General features: G+C 37.9%; 1 protein-coding gene across 16 annotated transcripts in view, besides 1 other annotated feature; it reads right to left on the minus strand.

Annotated features, from left to right (window-relative positions):
- Positions 1-27,422, minus strand: part of PLA2R1 (phospholipase A2 receptor 1) — a 138,683-nt gene that overhangs the window by 2,874 nt on the left and 108,387 nt on the right. For 2 of the 16 annotated variants that reach the window (XR_007071494.1, XR_007071493.1), the window contains 8 exons: positions 24,534-24,772; positions 22,802-22,970; positions 20,613-20,753; positions 19,995-20,111; positions 18,100-18,276; positions 15,321-15,353; positions 6,294-15,186; positions 1,578-5,846 (listed from right to left, as the gene is read on the minus strand). Coding sequence is in view for 9 of the 16 variants with exons in the window: in XM_047443729.1 (XP_047299685.1) it covers positions 14,972-15,186; positions 15,321-15,353; positions 18,100-18,276; positions 19,995-20,111; positions 20,613-20,753; positions 22,802-22,970; positions 24,534-24,772 (1,091 nt within the window). In the remaining 7 variants the exon portion in view is untranslated. Of the gene's footprint in view, positions 1-1,577; positions 15,187-15,320; positions 15,354-16,436; positions 16,905-18,099; positions 18,277-18,998; positions 20,112-20,612; positions 20,754-22,801; positions 22,971-24,533; positions 24,773-27,422 lie in introns of those variants that run through there. The other 14 variants (XR_922892.4, XR_007071491.1, XR_001738672.3 and 11 more) reach the window with 14 other exon arrangements.
- Positions 13,411-13,460: an enhancer, noted in NCBI's record as "active region_16696". NCBI's record gives its function as "activates an Ori minimal core promoter by ATAC-STARR-seq in GM12878 lymphoblastoid cells {active_cell/tissue: GM12878}" and the evidence as "EXISTENCE:reporter gene assay evidence [ECO:0000049][PMID:35858748]".

The following is a 27,422-nucleotide window of genomic DNA, read 5'->3' on the forward strand; positions in this document are numbered from 1 at the left end:
CCACCCCAGGCCTGAAGAGACAGTGTGTTTGCTGTTCCTGGATCTGGAAAACACTGAAGCTATGGAGAGGAGCAGGTGACCAGCACTGCGTCCCCGGTGGAGGAATGTGGCCAGTGCTAGGTTCCAGCAAGGCAAGGAGGGAGCCAAGGGGTCCCAAATCTCCAAACTTGCTTACTTTCCATCTTCAAATCTCCTTTCCCAGCCCCACACTGGGCTGGACCCAACCAAAACTAGAGGGCAAGGACACCAAGGGACATCATCTGAGGCACAGAGCAGGGTAAAGAAGGGTGGAGTGTGACTTTGGAGGAATAGCCATCATCCATACAGGACTGGGAGGGAGGAAGGGTAAATAAAACTGATGCTAAAAGACTTTGCATTCATATTTGATATACATGTCACCAATTGGAATCTAAACTCAATGATCTTCTAGTTCCCTTTTTCTACTTTCCAGTTATTACTACTGAAAAAAGACTCTTTTAAAGTTCTCTTTTTACCTGTGATTAGGTGACTTGCAGGGCTGTTTGTTTCTATCTTTGATCAGGTTGGATGCAAATCACTAGCTTTTCATAAGAATGCATCAGTCTCTAGAAACATGGAGCAAAACAGAAGCAACCCACTTCTTGCTACTATCTAGGGCCATAGGGGGATATTTTGCCATTCCTAAGATCCATCAGTAAAATCAAATGGGGAACTTTGAATTTAATTGTTTGTCAGGCATTTTGTATATCTCCTCTGGGGTTCCTGATTCTCCCTTCTGTACTCCCTTCCTTTAACTCCCCACTTTCAGAACTCTCCTTGGGGTTTCTTTCCTATTCCACAGACCTATTTGGGTTCCAGTGCATAAATGCAACTATATCTCACCTTCCCAGGTATCTGAGTCAGGTGAGAAGCCTCTTTCCCTTTCTCTGATTTTATGGTCTGATAGCATAGACTCTTTCATTATCCCTGGTCTACGATGACCCACATTCCTCTTAACCTCCTCCTTTCTTGCAGTGTTCTGGGGTCAGTCACACTGCAAGACACCCAGATCAGAACTGGGAATCATGAGATTAGTTCTCATGTATTGCCACAAATTAGCCATGTATTACTGGTGAAATCAAAGAATATTTCTAAGTCTTGCTTTTGTCATCTGTAAAACTGTGCTTAAAACAGATTTGTGATCTCTCAAATACTACCATGTAATAAGAGAGATGAGAGCTGGTAGAAGTGGCCTAGTTGTCTTCAAAGAAAAGGAAGGCTGTGTGGAGATGGACTGGAACTTAAAGATGACCATTATGTCTCAGGCCTGGTTCCTGGTTTCAAGCCACAGAAACATACTCTTTTCTGGTCCAGGGGATGCCATGCTTTGGCTTACTCAACTAAACACCTGCAAAAGCTGAGGTAGATGTCGTAATGCCAATATATGACTGTTCTGCCATCTAAGAAAGCCTGGTGTCCCTGTTGTGGAATCACTGCACCATGACAAGTTCCTCAGGTCTAGACCCCCTTTCTGGTGAGACTGCCCACACCTATGCACCTCCTACAGCAATGTTCCAGAGCTGCCACTGCCCAAACAAAATCATACATGAGACTGAGGAGGACATCACAATGTCAGTTTATTAATTTACAAGGAGAAATAAAATGTTTAGGAATATACTTAACCAAGGAGGTGAAAGACCTCTACAAGGAAAGCTATAAAACACTGCTGAAAGAAAGCATACATGACACAAACGAATGGGAACACATACCATGTTCATGGATAGGTGGAATCAATATTGTGAAAATGACCATACTGCCAAAAGCAATCTACAAATTCAATGCATTTCCCATCAAAATACTACCATAATTCTTCACAGAACTAGAAAAAAAATCCTAAAATTCATATGGAACCAAAAAAGAACCCACATAGCCAAAGCAAGACTAAGCAAAAAGAACAAATCTGGAAGCATCACATTATCTGACTTCAAACTATAAGGCCATAGTCACCAAAACAGCATGGTACTGGTATAAAAATAGTCACATAGACCAATGGAACAGAATAGAGATCTCAGAAATAAAGCCAAATACTTACAGCCAACTGATCTTCAACAAAGCAAACAAAAACATAAAGTGGGGAAAGGACACTCCACTCAACAAATGGTTCAGGGATAATTGGCAAGCCACATGTAGAAGAATGAAACTGGATCCTCATCTCTCACCTTATACAAAAATCAACTCAAGATGAATCAAGGACTTACATCTAAGACTTGAAACCATAAACATTCTAGAAGATAACATTGGAAAAACCCTTCTAGACATTGGCTTAGGCAAAGACTTCATGACCAAGAACCCAAAAGCAAATGCAACAAAAACAAAGATAAATAGACAAGACTTAATTAAACTAAAGAGCTTCTGCACAGCAAAAGAAACAATCAGCAGAGTACACAGACAACCTACAGAGTGGGAGAAAATCTTCACAATATATACATCTGACAAAGGACTAACATCCAGAATCGACATGGAACTCAAACAAATTAGCAAGGAAAAAACAATCCCACCAAAAAGTGGACTAAGGACATGAATACACAATTCTCAAAAGAAGATACACAAATGGCCAACAAACATATGAAAAAATGCTCGACATCACTGATGATCAGGGGAAATGCAAATTGAAACCATAATGTGATACCACTTTACTCCTGCAAGAATGGCCATAACCAAAAAAATATAAAAAAATAGATGTTGGTGTGGATGTGGTGAAAAGGGAACACTTTTACACTGCTGGTGGGAATGTAAACTAGTACAACCACTATGGAAAACAGTGTGGAGATTCCTTTAAGAACTAAAGGTAGAACTACCATTCGATCCAGCAATCCCACTACTGGCTGTCTACCCAGAGGAAAAGATGACATTATACCAAAAAGATAACTTGTACACGCATGTTCATAGCAGCACAATTCGCAATTGCAAAAATGTGGGACCAGCCCAAATGCCCATCAATCAATGAGTGGATAAAGAAATTGTATATGTATATGTATATATCTATATGTATATGTATATATATGTGCATGTATATGTATTATATATTTGTGTGTGTGTGTGTGTGTGTATATATATATATATGAATACTAATCAGCCATAAAAAGGAATGAAATAATGGCATTCGCAGTGACCTGGATGGAATTGGAGACAATTATTCTAAGTGAAGTCACTCAGGAATGGAAAACCAAACGTCGTATGTTCTCACTCATAAGTGGGAGCTAAGCTATGAGGACCCAAAGGCATAAGAATGATATGATGGACTTTGGGGACTCAGGGGGAAGGGTGGGAGAGAGATGAGGGATAAAAGACTACACATTGGTGGCCAGGCGCGGTGGCTCACGCCGGTAATCCCAGCACTTTGGGAGGCCAAGGCGGGTGGATCACGAGGTCAGGAGATCGAGGCCATCCTGGCTAACACGGTGAAACCCCGTCTCTACTAAAAATACAAAAAATTAGCCAGGCATGGTGGCACGCGCCTGTAGTCCCAGCTACTTGGCAGGCTGAGGCAGGAGAATGGCGTGAACCTGGGAGGCAGAGCTTGCAGTGAGCAGGGATTGTGCCACTACACTCCAGCCTGGGAGACAGAGCGAGACTCCGTCTCAAAAAAAAAAAAAAAGACTACACATTGGTTACAGCGTACACTGCTTGCATGATGGGTGCACCAAAAATCTCAGAAATCACCACTAAAAAACTTACTCATGTAACCAAACACCACCTGTTCCCCCCAAACCCCTTGGAAATTATTAGATCCTCCTAGGGGTCTAATATACTCAAAGTCGGAGTCAGACTTTCTCTCAGTGCCAGACACGCCTACACGGAGGACTTAAATCCTAGCTAGAGATTTTTGGTGAACACGGAAATGAAATGAAGGAAGTTGTGCTTACAGCAGATCCTAATGATGTATCCACCTCACCACAGGGATGTCCTTGGAACCCTAAAATCATTTAGCCATATCCCTAGGAGCCTTGGCTTTGGAAGTGCAAGTCCCTTCTCCCAAAACTGCTGAGGACACCTGTCTCTGAGCCTGCTTCCATAGGGGACTGTTTCTCTTCCCACTCCTTCCTCAGCACCTCCGTGATTTCCTTTTTCAGACAAGTTAAATCAAGTTCCAATCTGACAGGTGGCCTGGGGAGCTATTCTCTTTCTTTCTTGCTTATTTATGCTCAGATCTATTCTGTGTGGATTCCAGAGTTCAGTTCTGAGGGAAAGTCTAACTTTCTGTACATGGAATAAGTCTCAAACACGAACAGCTGAAGCCGCAGCTTACCACTTACCTGTGCTGTGGGACCAGCCAAGCTACCTGTGAAATAAGGCAGTCCAGGCTGCTCCACCCATGGGTTCCCTCATACGCTTAGCACCAGTTGGTTGTGTTTGTTCCGAAATCCGTTAATGCCAATTGTACTAGACATTGTAATTATACAGTTTGTAAAACATAAAATAGGGCCAGGTGCAATGGTTCATGCCTACAATCCTAGCACTTTGACAGGGTGAGGAGGGAGGACTACTTGAGGTCAGGAGTTTGAGACCAGCCTGGGTAACAGAGTGAGACCCCGTCTCCACAAAAGTTTTTTTAAATAATAAGGTGGGCATGGTGGTATGTGCCTGCGGGCCCAGCTACTCAGGAGGCTGAGGGAGAAAGCTTGCTAGAGTCCAGGAGTTTGACATTGCAGTGAGCTATTATTGAGCAAGACAACTACAGATATTGAGGAAAGTTATACACATTTGGGGCTTGCACTCAAATTGTTCTACAGCTATCTTTATTTTTGAGACAGGGTCTCACTCTGTTGCCCAGGCTGGAGTGCAGTGGTGCAATCACAGCTCACTGCAATCTCAATCTCCCCCGGCTCAGCCTCCCAAGTAGCTGTACTACAGGCATGCACCACCACACTCTACTAACTTTTTTGTATTTTTTTCAGAGACAGGGTTTCATTTTCATTTACGAAAAACCAGAGATTGTGAACAACACCTTATAGATATACTTTATGCATAAAACCAACAGGAAGGAATATTAAAAGGAATGACATTGTCCCTACACCAAAAGATTAGTGGATAAATGTACGTTTATGTGTTCTAATAGAAAATAAAATGTTTAAACTAATGTTAAAACAATTCTTATGATTCCTTCCTTTAACTGACTTTTTTGATTTCCTGACCAACTAAGTCAGATAAGAGTGATTCAAATGCAGTAACAAATATAGGTTATTATTTAAGTGTAACGTTAACTTTACTTATTAATATGCAATTACAGATTATCTTCTAAAGCAATGCATAAACAAGTGGGCCTTCTTGCTTAATATCTCTTTTTTCTCCCTTCACTTCACTTGGGACGTTTAGTATAAGTTGCAGTAGCAATCGCAGGGAATTTCTACCTTGAGCACCAGTTTCACCAAGCTCTCCAGTCCTTGGCTGTGGTCAGGAGGGTCTGCTTCGTTCACGCACTGTCTGTTTGGTAGTGTGCAGAGATGGTTTTCTTTTGCACCTTTAGGTGTCATCTGGAGTAAAAGGGAAGGAAACAATTCCTTGTCTGATCAGAGGAGCCCTTGCTTAAGGACTGCCCGAGCCAGTGGCTTAGCACATCGATTAAGGCATGCTCTGTCCTGAAGTTTGTCCTCAGCCTCCACAGAACCACATTTTGGGCTAAGAACTCCAAAGCCCTTGGTGACTCACTGAGGCAACATGTCCTGTTACGTTTCCATTCCTCCCCATTCCTTTCTTTGAGTTTTTCCTTGTTCTGCCTTCTGGTTCTCTATCTCTCCGTCCCCCAAGTTCTGATGTCCACAGGGACAAGAACCCACTGTTTCCTAAATCTGTGAGTCGGGTTTCCAGCTCCTACCAAGCTCTGTATACTAAGAAGGTAAAAAGTAAAGTTTAAATAATCTCTTAGAAGTAGGAACTCAAGGAGCTCAAGTTAATTCACAAACAACAGTGTGAAGACAATAATAAAACCACAGTTTCAGTGCTAGGGAGGGCAAGGAGAAAACATTATAAATGGTCCTTTAACAATTTACAATTTGCTGTATTATATTAAAAATATATTTATTTGAAAAATATCCAGGAACATATACATTGGATCTAATATAAATAAGAGACTTAATGGGAGAAACAGAAACACATTTTACATTAATCTTGAAAAATCAATTTCCATTAATAGAAGCACAGGAAACAAGTTGAAAATAGCATAGATCATGATGTCTTTTTTTTTTTTTGAAGAAAAAAGATGGTATTGCTATTCATAATTACAAGAAATGGATGATAATATTTTAAATTAGTTAACTTTGGTCCATCATGCTTACTTCATGGTGTGAAGAAAACAGCACTTGAATGATTTTTTCCCTTAATTTGTTCTAAATTACAGCAAAGTGCTCTGCAAGAAACAAGTGCTTGTGTTAATTAATTCTGAGTAAAGAAGGTCACCGGTATACATAGGGTTCATTTTGTGGTTTTAGTTATTGGCATCCTTCTGCAATTAGAATTCGTCATTAGGTATTAGAGGAACATGCAGATTTTCACTTTTTTAAATCCAGAATTTCAGATTTAGGCACATTTTAAACTTTTTCTCTAAAAATATTCTGACCCCAAGCTAAAAACTTGCTTTCTAACTCAAAAAATACTAAAGAAAGCTGTTTATCTAACATTTCCTACAATTTAATACATATCACTTATCTTGTTAAGCCTTTCTCTACTTCTGACAGAATTAATCAGTCCCCTCTCCTTTTTTTTCTGATTCTCTTCTTCTTGATATTATTTATGTCACATTGCATTGCACTTATCATTTACATATTCCTCTCCCCTGAGACTGAGTTCCATGAGGGGAGAGATGGGGTGTTATTGGTATTTATAGCCTCTGAGCACAGGACACTCTCTGGGCCACAATAGGCTCTAAATAAATGTTTACTGATCATAATTGTTTATTGATATATTTTAAGTGCTGTCCATATACATTAACATAACAGTGCTTGCTAAGATACGTTAAAGTATGTAAGACTTCCCCATTTAGGTTTTCACTTTCTAAATCAGGGGTTGGCAAACTTCCTGTAAGGGTCCAGAAAGTAAATATTTTAGGCTTTGCAGGCCATTCGGTCTCTGTTGCAACCACTCAGCTCTGTCATGGAAGCATGAAAGCAGTCATGCACAGTATGTGAGTGAATGGGGATGGCAGCATCCCAATAACTTTATTTCCAAAATAGGCTGCAGGCTGGATTTGGCCCTGCCAACTCCTGCTCTAAATCCTTATTTTGAAAGGTGGGGAAAGAGGGAATAAATATTCCAAGCATGTATCTTGATAATCACTACAGTCAAAGTTTCTTATAAATGTTGGCAATAAGAATTATGATGTACATGCCATTTTGGAAATGTCTCCAAATTTTTCTTCTCCAAGAACAAAATGGAAACTAAGTGAGTTTTTCCCTGCTGTACCCTATTAATACTAAGGCACGAGGTTGTAGGGGATAGCAGGACTATGAGAATTAGAAGTACTGACAAGTCAGGGAAGTGACACAAAAGAAGAATGCAGGGAAAAGAGAGCAGATGGAAGTGAGCATGGCCTGCAGCAAGACGTGTCTGGCTCCTAATCCTACAGCGGATGGTGTGTTAGGTAAGTTGGAGACACACAGGGTTTTGCCCTGCTTCTCATCTGAGACATGAGAGAAAAAATGTCATATAGCAGTGGTCCTCAAACTTTTTGGCTAGCATACAAAATTGTTAAAAGAATCATGAAAGAAGGCATATTGCTTCACGAATTTCTAAGTTGACAGCCAAAATTTTTTATAATTAGGATGCAATTTTCAGAATATTATAAATAACAACATGTAAAAATAAAAGTGCCTTATCACCCTTTTAATATATCCAGTGGTGTCTAATATCATAGCAAAATGTTAACTTTTTATATTGAAATGATTTTAGGTTTACAGAAAAATTGCCAACTTAGTCCAGAGAGTTCCTGTACAGCCTCCTTCAGCTTCTTCTAATGGTACATCTCATAAAACCATGGTATAATCATCAAAACAAAGAAACTAATACTGGTACAATACTATTAATTAAACCATAGACTTTATTTTACTTTCCCATTTTCCCATAATGACCATTTTCTGTTCCATGATCCATTTGAGGATTTCAACTTGCACGTAGTTGTCATGTCTCTTTAGTGTCCTCCAATCCTTGACATTTCCTCAATCTTTCCTTATCTTTCATGACCAGGACACTTTTGAAGTGATCATTTATCTTGTGGAATGTCCCTCAACTTGGATTTGTCTAATGTTTTTTCATGATTGAGATTATGCATTTTGGGGAGGATACCAAAGAAGTCATGTGCCCTTCTCAATGCCATACCAGGGGGTACATGATGCTGATGTGGCTTATTACTGCTTCTGTTAACCTTGATCCCTTGATTAAAGAAGTTTCTCTACTGTAAAGTTATTACTTTCTCTTTGTAATTAGTGATTATTTTGGGGAAAATACTCTAAGGTTATGCAAATATTCTGTTTTTCCTCAAACATTCACCCACTAACTTTTGCACCAACTGGTAGGTCTTGCCAACAATTATTACTGTTGTGTTTTCCTGATAGTGATTTTTGTTTCTCCCATTTCTTCTACATTTATCAATTGGAATTTACTGGGGAGAAGAACTGTTTCTTCTTTTCATTCATTCATTCACTCATTCAATTGTTTACATCAGTATGGACACACAGATATTTATTGTGTGGGTTATAATCCAATATTATAATTTTTTATTGTTTGCTCAAATTGTTCCAGCATTTCCACTGGAGAGCTCCTTCAGGTTGGTTCCTGTAGCCTTCAGACATGTGCCATCTTTTTGTGAGCACCTCCTTATTTTCTGCCATCACAAGATATTCCAGTTTCATCTTGTATTTTCCTGCCTTAGACCTGCAATCAACCACTTTCTCAAGAAGCCTAAGTTCCTTTGACTGGAGATACTACAACAATTTGAATTCTATCATAATCTATTTAAAAATAGAAATAACCTCTTCAGCAGTCAGAGATATTACTTTCTTTCAATCTTGTATTTCCATTCCAACTCCCCCACAGAATTTTATCCTAATGAGATATACTTTAATTTGTGAAATATTTTATTCATTACCTTGTCATATTTTCCTGCAGTAAAAATATGTATATAAATTAATTTTTTTTTTTTTTTTTTTTTTTTGAGAGAGAGTCTCGCTCTGTCGCCCAGGCTGGAGTGCAGTGGCGCCATCTCGGCTCACTGTAAGCTCCGACTTCCAGGTTCATGCCATTCTCCTGCCTCAGCCTCCCGAGTAGCTGGGAATACAGGCACCCGCCGCAACACACAGCTAATTTTTTTGTATTTTTAGTAGAGACGGGGTTTCACCTTGTTAGCCAGGATGGTCTCGATCTCCTCACCTCGTGATCCACCCGCCTCGGCCTCCCAAAGTTGCTGGGATTACAGGCGTGAGCCACCGCGCCCAGCCTAAAATTATTTTTTAAGAAGTCCCTGTGAACATAGGCTCTAAGTATTACACATTTTCTTCTATATTGAGTTGTCATTTCAATTATTGTTAGTATACAATTGATCAGAACAAAATAAATATGTTACAAAGATTAAGATAGTATATGTCAAACTAAAATGATAGCAAATGGATCTGTTAATGAAATGGATATATCATAGATAAAAATTAATTAGTATTAAAAACTGCTAGTATAAATCAAGGTTCAGCATCAATTCTGTTCTCTCTCTTCTTTTTTTGTAGCTATACATGTTGAGAAACTCTGGTAGCAATTGCTGGTGCTGTCTGTAGTCCCTTATCCTCTCTTTCCTGAGCACACAAAGCAGAAGACTTCCTGGATTTCCTTTCAGTTAGGTTAGGTCATGTGACTAGTTCCAGCCAATGACACGCGAGTGGAAGTGCCACGTGTTTCTTCCTAAACCTGGGAACTTAACAGTTCTCTAGTGCCATAGCAGCACTGGAAGCCCCATGTTCTGGAGGTAGGACACAGCCTGGATCTGTGAGTTACTGCTTGGAGGCAAGTGTCCTGACCATAGCAGGCTTCGCATGATCAATAAATTAACTTCTGAGTTTTGTTTTTAACCACTAGTATTACAGGGTTTGTTTCCACAGCACTCTCTAACTTATCTTAACATAGAAACTTTGTTCATATAAATAAGTAGATGGGAATAAAAGGAGGTTTGTTATAACAATATCCCTCTATTACTTGAATTCCTTTCTCATAGGTGCCAAAAAATCAGTGATTCTACATTAAAAATTATTTTCTATATCAACCAACTGCTTGATTATGTTCTCCTTCAGTTTTTTTTAAAGCATAGAAGTGGAAACACCCTACTTGCAAAGTGATTTGTTACCCAGTCATTAGAATGATTCATGTCAATTTCCTACAAGTAAAATTAAAAGGCTTTACTAAGACTCTTCAAATAACTGTTCATTATGCCTGTTACTCTTTCACTTACAGGCATCTTGCTTTACCTGATATACAAATGAAGGCTGGGAAAAGTAAAATATCACTTCATTATAGTTCAGTCAATACTATTTTTCTATTAAAATGCCTTTACCCTATTACAAGCTTTAATCAGAACACAAGAGCAGCAGATTTAGTTCATTCAATTAATACAAAATGTTCATCATAAAACTTAATGGGTAAAGTCAATCCTTGTTGTCAAACCAATGAGCCAAATAAAAAAAACTTCAGAAAAGGTCTGAATTCATTTTTCAGTTCAAATAAGCTTGTTAATACTCATCCTCACAACTCACATAGAAATCTAAGATAAATCAAGCCTTGGGACTTTCTTCTGGATAACATAAGATGTTAGGTTCTTGGCAACACATGCTTCACTTTGCTTTCACCAGACTTTTTCTACAGCTTGTTCTCTGACAATAGTCAGGCAGTGGATGAGATAAATTTTCAAATGAAAGTAGCACTCCAGCTGTTCCACTGTATAATACATATTAATTCAGAATATGAACATGGGGCAAAATAACTCATTTCTAAGTCATCGCTTCAACTTTAACAGAAAAATGTCCTAACACAGAGAAAGACGTGAGGATCTACAGAATGAGTTTACAATTTCTTTATTAAAAGAAGCTTCACTGACATCAATACTTCGAATATTTTTCTTTGGAGCCATGGAGGATTTTCCCATAGTAAGATCTGAAATGAAAGCCATTTCTTTTTCTTTTTCTTTTTAAAGGTAGAGAAAGGCATTTGTGTAAAGAGAGGTGGGAAAGAAGAACCAGGGGTGCTCTCAGGTAAATCAGTTTTAAGAAAAAATATACATGAAGATTCTGGAAATTAAGTTTCTTAAATACCCATGCTCCTGTATTCCTTAGGCATGTGTCCCCAGTTTGAGGACTTTTGACTTAGAGGATTTCAACAGCCTGTGGAAGCTCCATAATGAATCAAAGATGGGTCTCAAGTCAACATCCTCTGTCAGCCACAGATTGGAGGCCCATGGAGGACTCCAGGCCTTAGGAGACAGAGGGCTGGCTATATAGGAGAAGCATGGACCCATGAATGACTGAACAGAGCAAAGTCCTCTTGCCAGCCCATGCAGGTGTGGGTGAGAAATAAACCTTTGCTGTGTTAATCCACCAAGACTGTGGGATTGTTTGCTATGGCATTTCGCCTTTCTGGACGAAAAGAGTAGCTAATGGTAGCTAATGGGATCTCACCACTGCAGGGGTGAAGTGACTGCCTTGTAGCCAAGAACTGCAGTGTTCGGATAGGGAATTCAACAGGAGACACAGCCAGTTCTCAAGAGATAAGACAGCACCAGGGACAGCCAGAATGAGGCCAAATCAAAGAGAACAGACTACAGATTAAAGCAACTGCAGACTTCACAGCAGATGCCAGCAGAATTCCCAGGAGTGAGGCCAGACAGCTATTCTCAGTGGACACCAGCTAACATACATCCACAGTAAGTTGTCACCTTCTCCCCTCAACACTACCAGGACACAGCAAGTTCTTATATATCCAACCACCATTTTGAGAAGAGTAAAGAAACTCCAAAAGACTGAACGTTTAAGTAAACATTCAGTTCAATCTTATCTTTAATAAGGAGTGGACCCTTCAAGAGAAGAAATATTTAACCCGAAAGAAGACTGTTGTAACTGTAAGAGCCCAATATATTGTTAAATGGAAAAACCCAGGCATTTCCATTACTCAGATTCTATAAAGATCCTCAGGTTAGTCATAGAACATAATTGACTGTTGGAGGGGCACATTAACTATGTGTGAATTTGTGATCCTGCCGCTTTTTTGGCATAAATGTAAGGAGTACAAGTGTAATTTTGTTACATAAATACAGTATGTAGTGGTAAAGTCTGGTGTAACCATCACGCAAATAGTGTATAATATACCCATTACCTGCTACTTTTTTTTCTTTTCGAATTATAGCTATAAAATCTAGTTCACATTAAAAATACAGATGAGGCCAGGTGCGGTGGCTCATGCCTGTAATCTTAGCACTTTGGGAGGCTGGGGCGGGTGGATCACGAGATCAGGAGATCGAGACCATCCTGGACAACATGGTGAAACCCTGTCTCTACTAAAAATACAAAAATTAGCTGGGCATGGTGGCATGTGCCTGTAATCACAGCTACTCGGGAGGCTGAGGCAGGAAACTTGCTCGAACCAGGCAGTTGAAGGTTGCAGTGAGCTGAGATCATGCCACTGTACTCCTGCCTGGCAACAGAGCAAGACTCCATCTCCAAAAAAAAAAAAAAAAAATGAAAAAAAGTTTCAAAAAAAATGCAAATATAAAAATGTAGCAGAATACTTCAGTACTATTTCTGCAAATTCAGTAATGGCAAGAAGTGTGTGATCTGTCCATGGGTCCAGATTATCTGGAGATGTTGTTCAATACTAAACATCAAAGTATGGAGCACTGAGAAGCAATACAGCTTCTTTCTGCAAAATCACTTTCCTAATGGTGTATTTTGTCAAATTATTATGTGTGACTATATACCTTGACTGGAAGGCTGGTTGATTAGCAGTTTTTACCAAGTCCATTGAAAAGAACAGAACTTTAATTCCACTCAAAAGATGGTTAAATTGGGCTTTTATACCATCTGGTGAGTTCAAGCCAATTATTTTTTGAGTCATAAATATGCAACTGCCACATAATATAATATCTTTTAAAAAATGAAGTCCCAATACTTAAAAAAATTATGGAGGTAGACTGTCCCAGTGTGTAAATTATTATAACAGTAGCAAAGAGCTGCTTTTGGAAGCTGGATTAACTGTTGCAGGCCACAAGGATTCCATTCTTAGTGGTATGCTCTTCAAATTGTATTTCTAATGATGATGGTTTGCCTCTTAGAAATTCATTCATACTTTCTCTCAGAGCTCCCCCTTGTGATTAGTGGCCACTGGTTTTGAGGCAGTTGGTTGTAATAATTAAAATGCACACTCTCAGGGAGGCCCTGAGAGTCCCCCAGTTTCTCTCTATCATGGAACCTTACTTCATTTTCATAACCACTTGCTATTTTATGCATATGCATTTCTTTACTGAGTTACTGTCAATTTTCCCTCATTAGAAAATAAGTGGCATGAAAAGATAGCCCTTACCCCAAGTTGCTCACCTTAGTACCTCTGTTTCTAGAACAGCACTTTTTTGAGGTGGGGTCTCATTCAGTTGCCCAGGCAGGAGTGCAGTGGTGCAACCATAGCTCACTGCAGCCTTCAACTTCTGGGCTCAGTTGATCCTCTTCCCTCAGCCTCCTAAGTAGCTGGGACTACAGGTGCGTGCCACCATGCTCAGTACACTTTTTTCTTGATAAAATTCAATAAACAGTTATGTAATGAGTAAATTTTTAGATATTGATTATGAAGCTGTTTTCTTTATAAGGAACTAATAAAGGAAAATAAAATCTGTAATTTTTTATTTACAGACAGTATCATAATCATTATTTACCATCTACACTAACTAGACTAATATAAAAGGAGATCGTTCCCAGAAAATAGTTTATTAAATAGAACACCTAAACTCATTTACATAATAAAGATATCTAGATTACTAATTTATTTAGTACTTCTCAACAACATCTGTCTGGTTCTAATGAGACTATAATTCAGATCTTTAGCTCTTCTCCTTTAAATCCAAGTTACATTTTATATCTTCCAGTTATTAAGAGTGTTACATATTATTTTATATATTTAGTTTTTCAGAAAGTCCATGAGTTTTAACAGTACAACTGTTAAAGTTTCAATATATTACTTTAAGCTTATGTATAAGACATTTTAAAATATCCAACTTAATCATCATTTAGTAATTGAAAGTTTAAGGCCACATTTTAACTATATGGTTGTTTATAAAAGTGTGCTGCTAATGAAGGTCTTTGCCATTTAAAAGAAGGTATTTTTCTTTCTCCTTTAGCTTGAGATGTTAGACCTAATAAAAATGAATGTCACCTTAAATATCAGTTGAGAGCCCAGAACCTGTGACCCTTAAGCACAGAAATTAGTATTTTCCAAATCCTGCTATTAAAAGTGAATTCAAAAGAAACAACTAAGAATCCTCTCAGAAGCCCTTTCCTTTTCCTCTCATATACAAGATTAATTTTTTTTTGCTTCTTTCTGTCTTTCTTAATGGTACGAGTGCAGGTAAATGTCTGAATAGATACCAGATTAGTTTTAAAATTCCCCCAAATTTTAGTAGAGATACATTAATGCAAAAACTATTATTCGCATTGATTTCAGAGTTTTCAATAGGGAGTTTCTTTTAATAGTTCTTGTCTTTCTGAAAAATAACCAATGCATAATTTACCCCTTTTAAGAATGGATCACAGTTTAGGGAAATGAATAAATCAAAACCCATCTGATTTGGTTAAGATTCAAAACCAGTAATCACTTCAAGAATAATTAAAATAGTGACCCAATTCACATTCTAATGGCATCTGTGCTGTAAAGGGAAAGACAGATGAGACTCCTGTTTAGTCTTCTTTACTTACCCTGGTGTCTGTGGCATTCTCTGACCTCATTATTATTGGTCACTCTTCTCAAGATCAGAAATGAGAATATTTTCTTCTAAATATACTGTACTAAAGTTGGTTGCAGGATAGTAAGGATTCCGAAACCCTGCAAGTCTCCTGAAGAAGCCACCGTTATGCTTGTATATGCAGAAGGAAAGTGTGCAAATGGCCACAATGACTATCAGTGTCAGTACAACCGCAAGAGGAATGATGCTGTGACTTGGTCCTGAAAGAAGATATTTTTCTTAAAAAAAGAAAAACTTCAGTGGCGATGAAGTAATATAGATACTGTCATACAGCTGCTTTCTATCTTATTATTTCTAAGAAAAATCAAAATGTTTTGTATGGTTTCAAACGTACCTTTTTCTGGCAGCGCCTCTGCAGTGTGAATATCTAAAATCAAATACAAAAATTAAAATGAGGTTTTTCTTTTAATTCAGCAAAAATATGTCATTACTTACTCAGGGATCAGCAAACTATGGCCCATGACCCTATTTTTATAAAAAATGTTTTACTGGAACTTAGCCACACTCATTCATTGATGTATTGTTACAGCTGCTTTCCTGCTACAATGGCATGTAACAGAGACCATATGGCTCCCAAAGCCTAAAATGTTTACTAGCTGGCCCTTTACAGAAAAAGTTTGCTGACCTTTGATTTATTGTAATCATCGTTATTAGTGCTCACAAACATACACCCTGCTTGTTTTTTTTAAGCCAAGAAGTTTCTATTCAGTCCCAGCACTGTGCTGCAATAAATATAGAGTAAAATATAAACCCTGCATACAAGGAACTCACAGTTTTGTTGGGATCTTATATGGAGTTTGTCCAGCAATGATAATCTGCCTGACTCTTTGTAAGGATTTTTAAATCAGCATCTTCTCACCTTTGTGATCTCATGGGTCTTGGGGAATGAGCAACAGCTTCTCCATCCAAAAAGTTAGAGAGTTTCTGTTTTAAAACTTTCTACTGTAAAAACACATCTTTTAAGTAGATGTTATATCAAAATGTGAACTCTTCTATTTTTGATCTAGGTAAAGATCCAGAGAAAGGTATAGAGAATGAACCAGAGGAAGATGAAGAAATGGATTTGTGAGCAAAAGAACTGCCTTGATGTCCTACTGATGCTCATTCACTCTGATAGACATGAAAAAAATCACAACACTGTTACTAATAGCAAAACCATACTTTTAAAACCAGACTTGTTCTTTTTTTTTTTTTTTTGAGGCGAAGTCTCACTCTGTTGCCCGGGCCAGAGTACAATGGCGTGATCTCGGCTCACTGCAACCTCTGCCCTGGGTTCAAGCAATTCTCTTGCCTCAGCTTCCTTAGTATCTGGGATTACGGGTGTGTGCCATCACACCTGGCTAATTTTTGTATTTTTAGTAGAGATGGAGTTTTGCCATGTTGGCCAGGCTGGTCTCGAACTCCTGACCTCAAGTGATCCAGCTGCCTCTGCCTCCCAAAGTGCTGGGATTTACAGGCGTGAGCCACCACCCCCGGCCCAGACTTGTTCTTTTAATATAAAAACAATGCCATTTAACGTTGCATTAAACTGTCGAAAATATGTATTATTGTGTTTTTATGAAGACACTTCTTTTAAATTGATGCATATCAGATGCACAAATTTTCAGAACACAAGTGATAATTGAATATAGTCATATAATTTGTATAGTGTACTTGGGATAACCATCACTTTAAACATAAAGATACATCTTTAAGAAAGACTGTTAAGAGTGTTTGTTCTCAGGATAGAAGCAGTGGGCGGCATGGAAAGAGCACTTAGAAAACTTAGAGTTTTCTCTGTAGTCCTTGATGTAGCCTCAGTTTGCACAGGCACTTTTCCCGTCTGTAAAATGGGGATATTTAAATTGCTCCACTACCTTGGAAAGCTGCTGCGAAGGATGAAACAGGTGTCATCTGCATTATAGGAAACTTTAAAGTCCTGTAAGACATGAGGTGTTTCTGATTTGTTCTTGATATTTAAAAGCTAGTGATAACTTGGGCACATTATTTATCAGGCTTAGCCATGTTTTTCTTTTTTTTTTTTTTTCTCTCACACAGAGTTGAGACTCACACTGTGGGGGTTTCAAACATTGGTGCCCACACCTGCAGTGTTTTCTTCTTCATTCCCAGCTCAAATCAGTCAACAGGGCCGGTGATTCTCTCTTCCTATTTCTCCCCTCCTCTTTCGTTCCTAGTTTAATCACTCAAATTACAAATGTTTCTCTTCATATCCTCATGAGTTCTACTTCATCACAGGTGTCTACAGAGCACATAGGGGGTCTGTCTCTTCCACCACAAAGTTCAGCTCTTTAGCCTGGCACTCTGTGAAAGGATCCTACATTACCATCCAATTTTATTCCCATCACCCCCTGACGTGAGCCCTTTGCTCTAATTGAAACACATTCTTAGTTGCTGCCTTTAATCAGGCTGGGCCTTTTCCTCCTCTGTTCCAGCTTCTATAATTCTCTTCATCCTTTGGGATCCTAAAACCTCATGTCTGAAGCCTTCTCTAGCAGTACAGGCCACAGCAATCCCTCCTTTATAATACTGACATCTAGAAATTGCTGTAATTATTATAGACATTTTCCCACCATCAGTGACTAGAATTTTCTAGCTTAGATTTCTAAAATTATTGTTTTTTTTAATTACTAAACACTAAGTATGTTACTGATGATTAAGTTAAAATGTGACTTTTATGACACATTATGCTTGCAACAGGGAATCACATCTTCTTGTCTACAGCAAATATACATAAGCCTAGATTATATTTCCTGAGGCCAAACATAAACCTTAAAAATTCTGAGTAGCAGTCACCAGAATGAAGGTTGCTGGTTTACATTCCTAGTTCTATTTGCTTGAGGGAAAATGATTTTTTGCCCATTAGGTGATCAACCTGGGTGACACAAGAAAAATCATAGTCTTTGAGTTGACTTATAATGATTTTTTTTCTCATATCAGAGAAAGAAGGAGCTGAACTATTCTCTGACTTGTTTGGTGCAGAACACAACAATAATGTCAGAATCTATCTGAATACTCTCTCAACTTGGATTTTAAAACCTTTAAATGCTAAAGAAGTCAGTCAACATTAGTTAAGGTAGAATCAAAATGAAGAATTACTCTCTGACTTTACCTACCTGCCTCCATTTTACATATAAAGCCTTTTTTTTCTTGACACGGGGATAGCTGCCATAATCCTTCAGGGATCCTCAAGGCAACACAATGATGGGGCTTGAAGTAGTCTGTGTCTGGCTTCCGAATGCCCCAGTTTGACTGGTCTGTGGGAGTTCCATCAAACCACTTTATGGTTTCATCTGTGAGAAAATTGCTGACTCATTATGAATTATGTGCATGGTTATCAAACATACTAAGACTGGAATTAACCATAAAAAGCAGCCCCTGAATTTTTTTATTTTTTTATTTTTATTTTTATTTTTTTATTATTATACTTTAAGTTTTAGGGTACATGTGCACAATGTGCAGGTTAGTTACATATGTATACATGTGACATGCTGGTGCGCTGCACCCACTAACTCGTCATCCAGCATTAGGTATATCTCCCAATGCTATCCCTCCCTCCTCCCCCCACCCCACAACAGTCCCCAGAGTGTGATGTTCCCCTTCCTGTGTCCATGTGTTCTCATTGTTCAATTCCCACCTATGAGTGAGAATATGCAGTGTTTGGTTTTTTGTTCTTGCGATAATTACTGAGAATGATGATTTGCAATTTTATCCATGTCCCTACAAAGGACATGAACTCATCATTTTTTTATGGCTGCATAGTATTCCATGGTATATATGTGCCACATTTTCTTAATCCAGTCTATCATTGTTGGACATTTGGGTTGGTTCCAAGTCTTTGCTATTGTGAATAGTGCCGCAATAAACATACGTGTGTATGTGTCTTTATAGCAGCATGATTTATAGTCCTTTGGGTATATACCCAGTAATGGGATGGCAGCCCCTGAATTTAATGAGACTCTTGAACTAATACATTCAACTCAGTAAATACAGTGATGTACTCAACATCAAAAGGTAGGCATTAATAAAGTTGCCTCTTTATTTTAGGTACAGTGTTCTTATTTAGGTCATTTAGGTTATCATGTTTCTTAATGTGACAGTTTGAATTTTGAAATATTCCATATATATATATAATCGATTTAAAGAAATCATTTGATAAACAAAACTAATCGAGTAAAGAAAAATCCTTTGAAGTCCTAACATCTTCATCATTACAAAATGGCTCACTTTCTAAAAAGATTTTACAGTGAATTTCTTTAATACCAAGCCAGCCATGTACCAAGGGGGTAGGGGCGGTAGGAGAGTCCATCCCATGTGTGGGCAATAGTGTATTGTCTGAAAATAATTTAAAACTAACAATACAGCTAACTAAAAGTTGGTCTGCTTTTTATTATCACCATCTGCTTGAAATTCTAAACAATGTTGGTGATTAAAATACTCCTCCTCGAAAGGGTAGGCTCACCCCCAACCTTGGTACACCACTGTAACAAGCTCTCCATACCAATTAAAATAATTTTCTTCACAAGTACCTTTCAATAACCATCAATTACATAAAGAAAAGAATACCATGCTTCCATTTTATTACAAACTCTGGTTTTTATGAGTAGCAAATAAGAATCCTAACAGCACAGTTCATCATGGAAACATTTCCATAACTCTATTGTGCTTTTATAACATTTAGAAACCTGGGATATTTTCCAGTAAATATGGTTTTGGTATGCAATGACTAAGTCTGTGAACACAAAGTTCCAGCCAAGCATCTTCCTGCTAAGGGTAAAGATAAACATGTTATTGTTTGTTTTTATTTTTGGTGTTCTGGGATTATTTTAAAAGACAAAAGGGTAAAGAAAAGGGTTGCAATGTTGTTTTTGGAAGAAATGGCTTTAGGCTTCATGCTATTTTTTCTCAGAAAACGTATCCAAGGAGAGTTTTCTGGCTCACAGATGCCATTATCATCAGCTTTAACAACCATGTATTTATTTATGTCCTCTCCTCTACCCAAATCACTTACTGTTACCATCAAATTGAGCATTCAACCAAACCATCTGGACAGAAGAACCAAAAGCAAACAGCTCTTCTAGGAGAAATGCATTTTCAGCCTCATCCTTGATTGTTAAAAGATTAGAACCTATAAGAGAGACAAGTAGCAAAGGAATATTTGTGTTTACACATAAATATACTTTAAAAAATGTTTCCTATACTATTAATTGTAAAGCTCAGGTTTTGAAAAGTGAAAATTTCCATTATAAAGAAGAGACTTTAAATTAAAAAAGTAAAACCACATTTTTTAAAAGATACAAGCTTGCACGTCAGAAGTTAAGGCATAGAATATTAATTTTAGGGAACATTCAAAATTCATAATGCAAATGCATGCAAAAGGAACGTTTTCTTCAGAAAGTGCAGTATGCTGAGACATCATCTTAGGTTTCCAAATTCTACACTGGACATTGTTTCATATAGTAGCTGTCCTCCAAACAAGCAATTTCAATAGTATTTATTTTTTCAATAGTTTAGTTTTTGTTGCTCCTAAAGTCACTAAATAATGGGATGAATAAAGAAATCCACATTGTTTACTGAAATGGCAAGAAGGAGCACATGAAAGCATTTTTACCATCACAAAAACAATTACCTTCCTTTTTGCAAAATTCATGAGCAGCCTCAAAACTCATACTGTCTAGGACTGTAGAAAAACTGTAGCAATTACTTTTAAATTTTATCCAGGGAATAGATGTTTCTGAGCACAACTCTGGGTGTTCAGATTGTCTTGTTTCTGTGAAGAAAAGCCAGTTATGATTTCAGGGTGGTGACTGGGTTTATTTATTGAGATAAATATTACATTACATTCTATAAAAGATCAAGATAAATATATGTAACAAGATTTTCATGGTAATACTCTGAAAGATTGGGTTTCATGTAAATGATTATAAAACTAGGACCAGTTTATAGCATTTCTGACAGAAATAATCTTTACCTAAACATAACAAGATATGTTAAGGCACAGCTTTGTAGGCTTAGTTTGGGTGCTGCCTGGGTGAGGGTGGCTCTTTCATGTTTACAATTAGCATCCTAAAGGTTGGAACAAGCAGGGGCTATGACTCCCAGAGAGAGTGGCAGCTGACTGATGCTGGTAAAAGAGATTTCCAAATGTATGCATTTCATGCAGTGCTGTGTATCACAGATTTGAAAAGTCCTTACCCACTAATAAACCTGTGAAAGAAAATAATGCATTCAATAAAGTATCATAACATAGCATAACATAAAATAAATAAGGGAACTCCAGAGGGACTTTATTTCAGAGAGCAAGCATGAGAGTTAGACACATCCATGCTGAGATCCCGGCTCCACCACTTACTAGCTGCGTGACCATGGGCATGTTACCTTGCACTTGGTTTCTTTATCTATAAAAGAGAGCTAACAACAAAACCTTTAAAAATATTTTTTTTAATTACAAAAAACTTTTTAAAAGACAAAGTCTCACTCTGTCACCTAGGCTGAAGTGCAGTGGCACAATCACAGCTCACTGCAGCCTCAAACTCCTGGGCTCAAGTGATCCTCCAGCCTCAGCCTCCCAAGTAGCTAGGACTATAGGCACGTACCACCAAGCCCAGATAATTGAATTTTTTTTTTTTTTTAACGAGTCTCACTGTGTTAACCAAGCTGGTCTCAAACTCCTGGCCTGAAGAGGTCCTCCTGCTTCTGCCTCCCAAAGTGCTGGGATTACTGGTGTGAGCCACACAGCCACCTTCCTTACAAGTTGAGAAGTTTCAATGAGTTAGAGCCTGACACTTCTTAAGCATTCAATAAATGCATTGTTATTGAAAGGACAAGATTCCAAGAAAAGGCAAGTGCTAACAAAAAAAAAAAAAAAAAAAAGGAGAAAAGGGAAGGACAGCTTTTATGGAGTTTTAGAAGTAGAATTAGCTTTTCCAAGATATATGTGGCTATCATTTACATTTAATCCTGAATTGTTTTGATCTAAAAATATATAATTTGTATGTTATTTGATACAGTACCCAGAATGTAAGTAAATACATGCACTTTTACTAAATGAGAGATTTAAAAGGAGGCCAGCTTGTGTTAGTGAATTCTATGCAGGAAACTTGATTTCTACTCTTGGTACTGGTGATGGACAGCTGTGAGACACTTAGGAAACTATTTAATGCTCTGAGTTTACATTTCATTTTTAATAAAGGGGTTAGGCCAGGTGAACTTTAAGTGTAAATGAGATATTATGTAAAGTGCAGAGCCAGATATCTAGTAAATATCCAAACAATATCACCACCATCATTATTGTAGCTCTGGAATCCTATCAATCTTTTATTTAAACATGAATCCTCAAAGTCCTCCACACATGCTTGAAGCCCATGTTTCTCATCTAATTTCCCACCCCTCCCTTACGCCTAACCTGCATTCAGGCAAATCCCAACATCGGCTTTGTCTTACGTAAGCCTCGTCCTGTCTTCCTTCCCCATTTTCATCCAGCTTTTCTCCTCAGAATGCCTTTCCATGTCCCATTATTACCCATCTACACCCACCTATTTATCAAGGCCCATCTGCACTGCCATGTCCTTCAAGAAGCCTTTCTACCTTTCTCCAAATGAATACAATGCATTCTTTTTCTTGATAACCCCCATAACATTTGCTACCTCTCTTATATCATTTTGTAGTTCTGTTATTCTTTACATCACCAACCAGACCAGAGGCTTCTTGAAGAGAGACTTCTTACTATACTCATCCTCATATCCTTTGCTTAGCACAGTGTCTTGCATACAGTAGTTAAATAAGGTATATTTTTGAGTTGAATAGAATTGAACCTACCAGGTGGCACATGACAAATGGCACCTTGCAGAAATGACTCGCAGGCTGTGCTATGCCAGCGTCCGTTGCTGTCGGCAAAAACGCAGTCACCAAGGAGGGAGGACTCCTCATCTTTCCAAAAAGTGAAAGAAGATTTGGTGCCATCAGACCAGTCAAAATTAAGACCATTCTGTGGAGGAAAACTGAGCCATCATTTCCTTGCCACGACGGCTGGCAGCATCACCCAGTGTTATCTGAGCATGCTACAATTCCCACATCGATTGCTATTTCTGCACACCTTTTTAAAGAGGGGCTAGGACATCTGTGAATACAGCTTGACAAACAGGAATATCTGCCACAAATGAGATCTTTTTTGATTTTTAGGAATTCTTGGCTCCCTGCCACAATGATTTTCTAGTGAGCAATCGGCGTGAAATTGGACCAGTACCTTGTCTTTTACAGTGAAATACATTTCAGATTGATCAATTATTCAAACATAAAATTGAAAACATAAACATGTTAAAGAAAACCTGGTTAAATTTTTTTATACTGTTGGTGTGGGGAAAACCTTTCCAAGTCATAGAAAATCCAGAGGCTATAAAGCAAAACTGACTACATGAAGTTAAAACATTCTGTACTACATGATGCAATAAATAATCATGAAATATCATTCATTTATCTCTCCCACTGGCAAGGATTAAAATTTTGAGAATACCTGGTGTTGACAAGGATGTGAAAAAACTAGACATTATCACATACTGTTGTTGGCATGTAAATTGGTGCAAACTCTTGGAGGGCAATTTGGTAGTACTTGTCAAAATTTTAAGTGTACGCAGCAATTTTACTTCTAAAAAATTATCCTACTGGCACAAGGATATTTGTTGTGCATTGTTTATAACTGTGAAAAACTGAGAAGAACCCAAATGTCTATTCACAGGAGAATGGTTTAATAAGTTGTGGTATATCCTTACATGCTGCGTTCTAAAGAATTCATGAGATTTTTATGTGCTGACATGTGAAGTTGTTAAAGATATATTAAATTAAAAAGCAAGTTTAAAGACAGCATGTAGAATAGGATCTCATTTGTGCTTGAAAAACAATGTACATATTCTTCCATTACATGAATATGTATGTGTATACATGGAAAATTTCTAGATGGCACACAAGACAGTGTTCACAATTACTAACATTAGGGAGTAGAACTAGGGGTCAGGATAGACTAGTTTACTTTTCACTACTTTGAGTGTACAATATTTTATTTAAAAAAATGAAAATAACGTATTCTCTAAACCACATCCCTAGAGGAAAATAAAACCTCAAGTGCTTAATTATAAGTGGTACTAAACTAATTAATAATCACATTTCTAGACAAGAAGCATGATTCGTTTTTTCTTGGGGATTCATTAAATGCCGCAAATTCCCAAATGCAGTGCTTGAGTTTCAGCTGTGTTCCAGTGCACATGCAAGGCAGTATCGGGGTACTTGGAAATTTTCAGAGAACCTTTGAATGGTATTAATTTCCAGACATTAGGCAAGTGGATGTTTACCCTAAAGAGGTGTGCACTCTTATTTTGTAGTCATAGGCTGTTCATAAGGTTGGTCAGGTAATTGCATAAACCAATTATTTAAGTGTTATATTTATTAATATTTTTGGGATCTTTTTTTCAGTGCTAATTTCAGTGGCCAGATCATGAAGGAGGTAGATGCTAAACTTAATTATTCAAGGATGTCTCAAGGGAGTTAGGATACCTACATCTGTGGTGAACAGTCCAATCCAGTGGGCATATCCTAGCCGGTTGAGGACAACAGTGAGGAAGGACTGGTGATACTGGTCTGTGATGCTGACCAGTTGTGCTTTGTGCATCAGGCAGGTTTTTATTGCTGCATACCAAGTCATATTTGCATTAATTATTTTGTAAGTTCTGTTTCCATATTCTAAGGTATTGGGCATTGGATACATATCAGATGTATTTACACCGTGTCCAGAAGTATCTAGAACAAGAACAGCAACAAAAGTCATTTGCAGCATCTGGATGACAAAGGAAGAGGCAAAGCTTAGCATAGATCCTTGTCACTATGATCCATGTTGATCAGAGTGCTTTCTTCTGGAATTGACTGTTTCAAAACAAGAACACTATCTGAAAGTGTAAGTGATGCAAAAAAATGAGAACACTCAGGAAATTTAATGAATTGTTTTTCAAAAACATAAACATAGATTGAACCATTTCTAGAAGATTTCCCAGTTTTGACCATCCTTTATCAAATTGACTGCTTTTTGGTGGAACTGATGGTGATCTTCTTAGGTGGGTTTCACTCCACTAACTACACTTGGCTTAATCCACACTGCTGTGGCAGAACTTAATGCTTATTAATAGCAGAAAGGCACATGTTACATAGTCATATATTGCATTGCAAACCTAATATTACAGGTGCATATTATCAGGTAAAATACTCGATTACACTTTTGAGACTGATAGTCACTATTATGCTTAATGTTTGCATGTATAAATTCTAAAAGGAATTTTAAAAAATAAAGTTAATAAATTCTTAGAAATACACACTGTTCTTATAAACAGTTACTATTAATATGTCACCTGTCAGAGTCAAAGTTTATAAATTAAAAGGCAAGGTTTTCCCACACGTTGTCAAGCATTGGTGCTTGAGAGTCTGTGAGTGGCTGTGATCATGTGAAAACCAAGCCTGTGTTTATGAACACGTGTTTCCTCTCTAATATGTGCATTTGCCTTTCTGTTTACATAGAACATATGTTCTATATGTACTAGGATATGTATAGAACATATGTTAGGATATGTATAGAACATATGTTCTGTATGTTATGTACTAGGATAGACTAAAGGTTTAGAAAACCTAAAGGACAAAAACAAGGTAAGAGTTTTTGTACCTTCTGATCCAAAGTGACTTGAATTTCTGTGTACTGGTTTTACTACATTTGGTGTTGGAAAGAAGCATGTGAGGTGTGGATAGGTCATGAGGCTGGGACTTAATCCTATTCCTGGCCCTAACTGGCTAAGAGCTCTTGGGCAAATTAACCTTTCTAAACCTCAAATTTATGGTCTACAAGAGATGATGAGGGTCTCCCTTGGAGGGGTGTGGATGGAATTGAACGAGATATCCACACAAGGCACACACTATTGTATGGAGACACAGAAAGCATCCTATGAATGTTGCTTCTTGCTCCACTCTCCTCCTCCGGTCATACTCCCCCCAGTAAAAATGGCAAAGTGGGAAACTGACCTTTATCTGAAACCATTACCTCAATACAGCAGCTGTACATATGGAAAAACCAAAGTAAAATGAATCTCTTTAATTTCTGTAAATTGTGATGGATCACACTTTTATCATATTTTTATTCTTTGCTATTAGTCTGTGCCCAGCCTACGTGCCCAGTGTAATGGTTATTCATACAAAATCAAAATAATATCAAAGTAGCTATTTTAAAATGCTAACAATTCATAACATTAAATGACATTCTTTGTATATGTTACCCAAATGCCAATTTGACTGTTTTTTCCCCACTGAGTTATATGTCTGTATTTTTACATATATAAATTTCTCCATATGTAATTGATTCCATTAAGTTTCAAAACAAGTGATTTTGAGCAGCATGGTTTTGCCACCCATTGCCCTGAAAAAGAAAGATCTATTGGAAACCAAGTTCTAAACTGGGGAGTCTTGCTTTGCCCTTGTGTCTCTTCTTATTCAGTTTCTTAATTTTTTTGGCAGATAAAAGACTTTGGGCTCAAGCCCAATGTAAGCACATATGTATCTGACAAACAGAGAAGAGGAGCAGAACTTGAATATTTATTGTTGGCTACAATAACTAGTGTAGTTGAACAATACTTTCTGGAAATAATAGAAAAAACTATATCGTTTGTTAAATATATGCTAGAAGTATGCTAAGTGTTATACATACATAAAGTGTGTGAGATGGCTATTACCACATTTTGCAGATGCAGAAATCATGATCACAGAAGATAAGTAACCTTGACTGAAGCTTATCTACAAAGAAGGGTGGGAACCCATGTGTGGTAGGCACTCCGGTGCCTATGCTCTCAATCACCACTATTCTGTACTATCTCTAAAGGAAAATCTACACTGTTAGTCCCAAAAATACCAAAGAGAGAAAGTGATCAGAGGGCACATTCCAAGAATAAATCAACATCAAGGTAGTGGAATAGAATCATTGTGTTTAACTGAGACACCTTGAGTGTGTTATTTTTGTTTTGTTTTGTTTTGTTTTCCTGGAGACAGAGTCTCACTCTGTAGCCCAGGCTGGAATGCAGTGGTGCGATCTCGGCTCACTGCAACCTCCGCCTCCCGGGTTCAAGCGATTCTCATGCCTCAGCCTCCCTAGTAACTAGGACTACAGGCACCTGCCACCACGCCCGGCTAATTTTTTGTATTTTAGTAGAGACGGGGTTTCACCATGTTGCTCAGGCTGGTCTTGAACTCCTGAGCTCAGTCAATCCACCCGCCTTGGTCCCCCAAAGGCTAGGATTACTGGCGTGAGCCACCGTGCCTAGCAAGGATGACTTATGTTTTTAAGCCTCAAGTTCCTCATCTGTAAAATGGGAGACTTTTACCTACTTCATAGAACTGTCTTGAGGATTTTGTGGCATAC

This window comes from Homo sapiens, chromosome 2, assembly GCF_000001405.40.
Source record: "Homo sapiens chromosome 2, GRCh38.p14 Primary Assembly".
In the NCBI taxonomy this organism is placed as follows: Eukaryota; Metazoa; Chordata; class Mammalia; order Primates; family Hominidae; genus Homo; species Homo sapiens.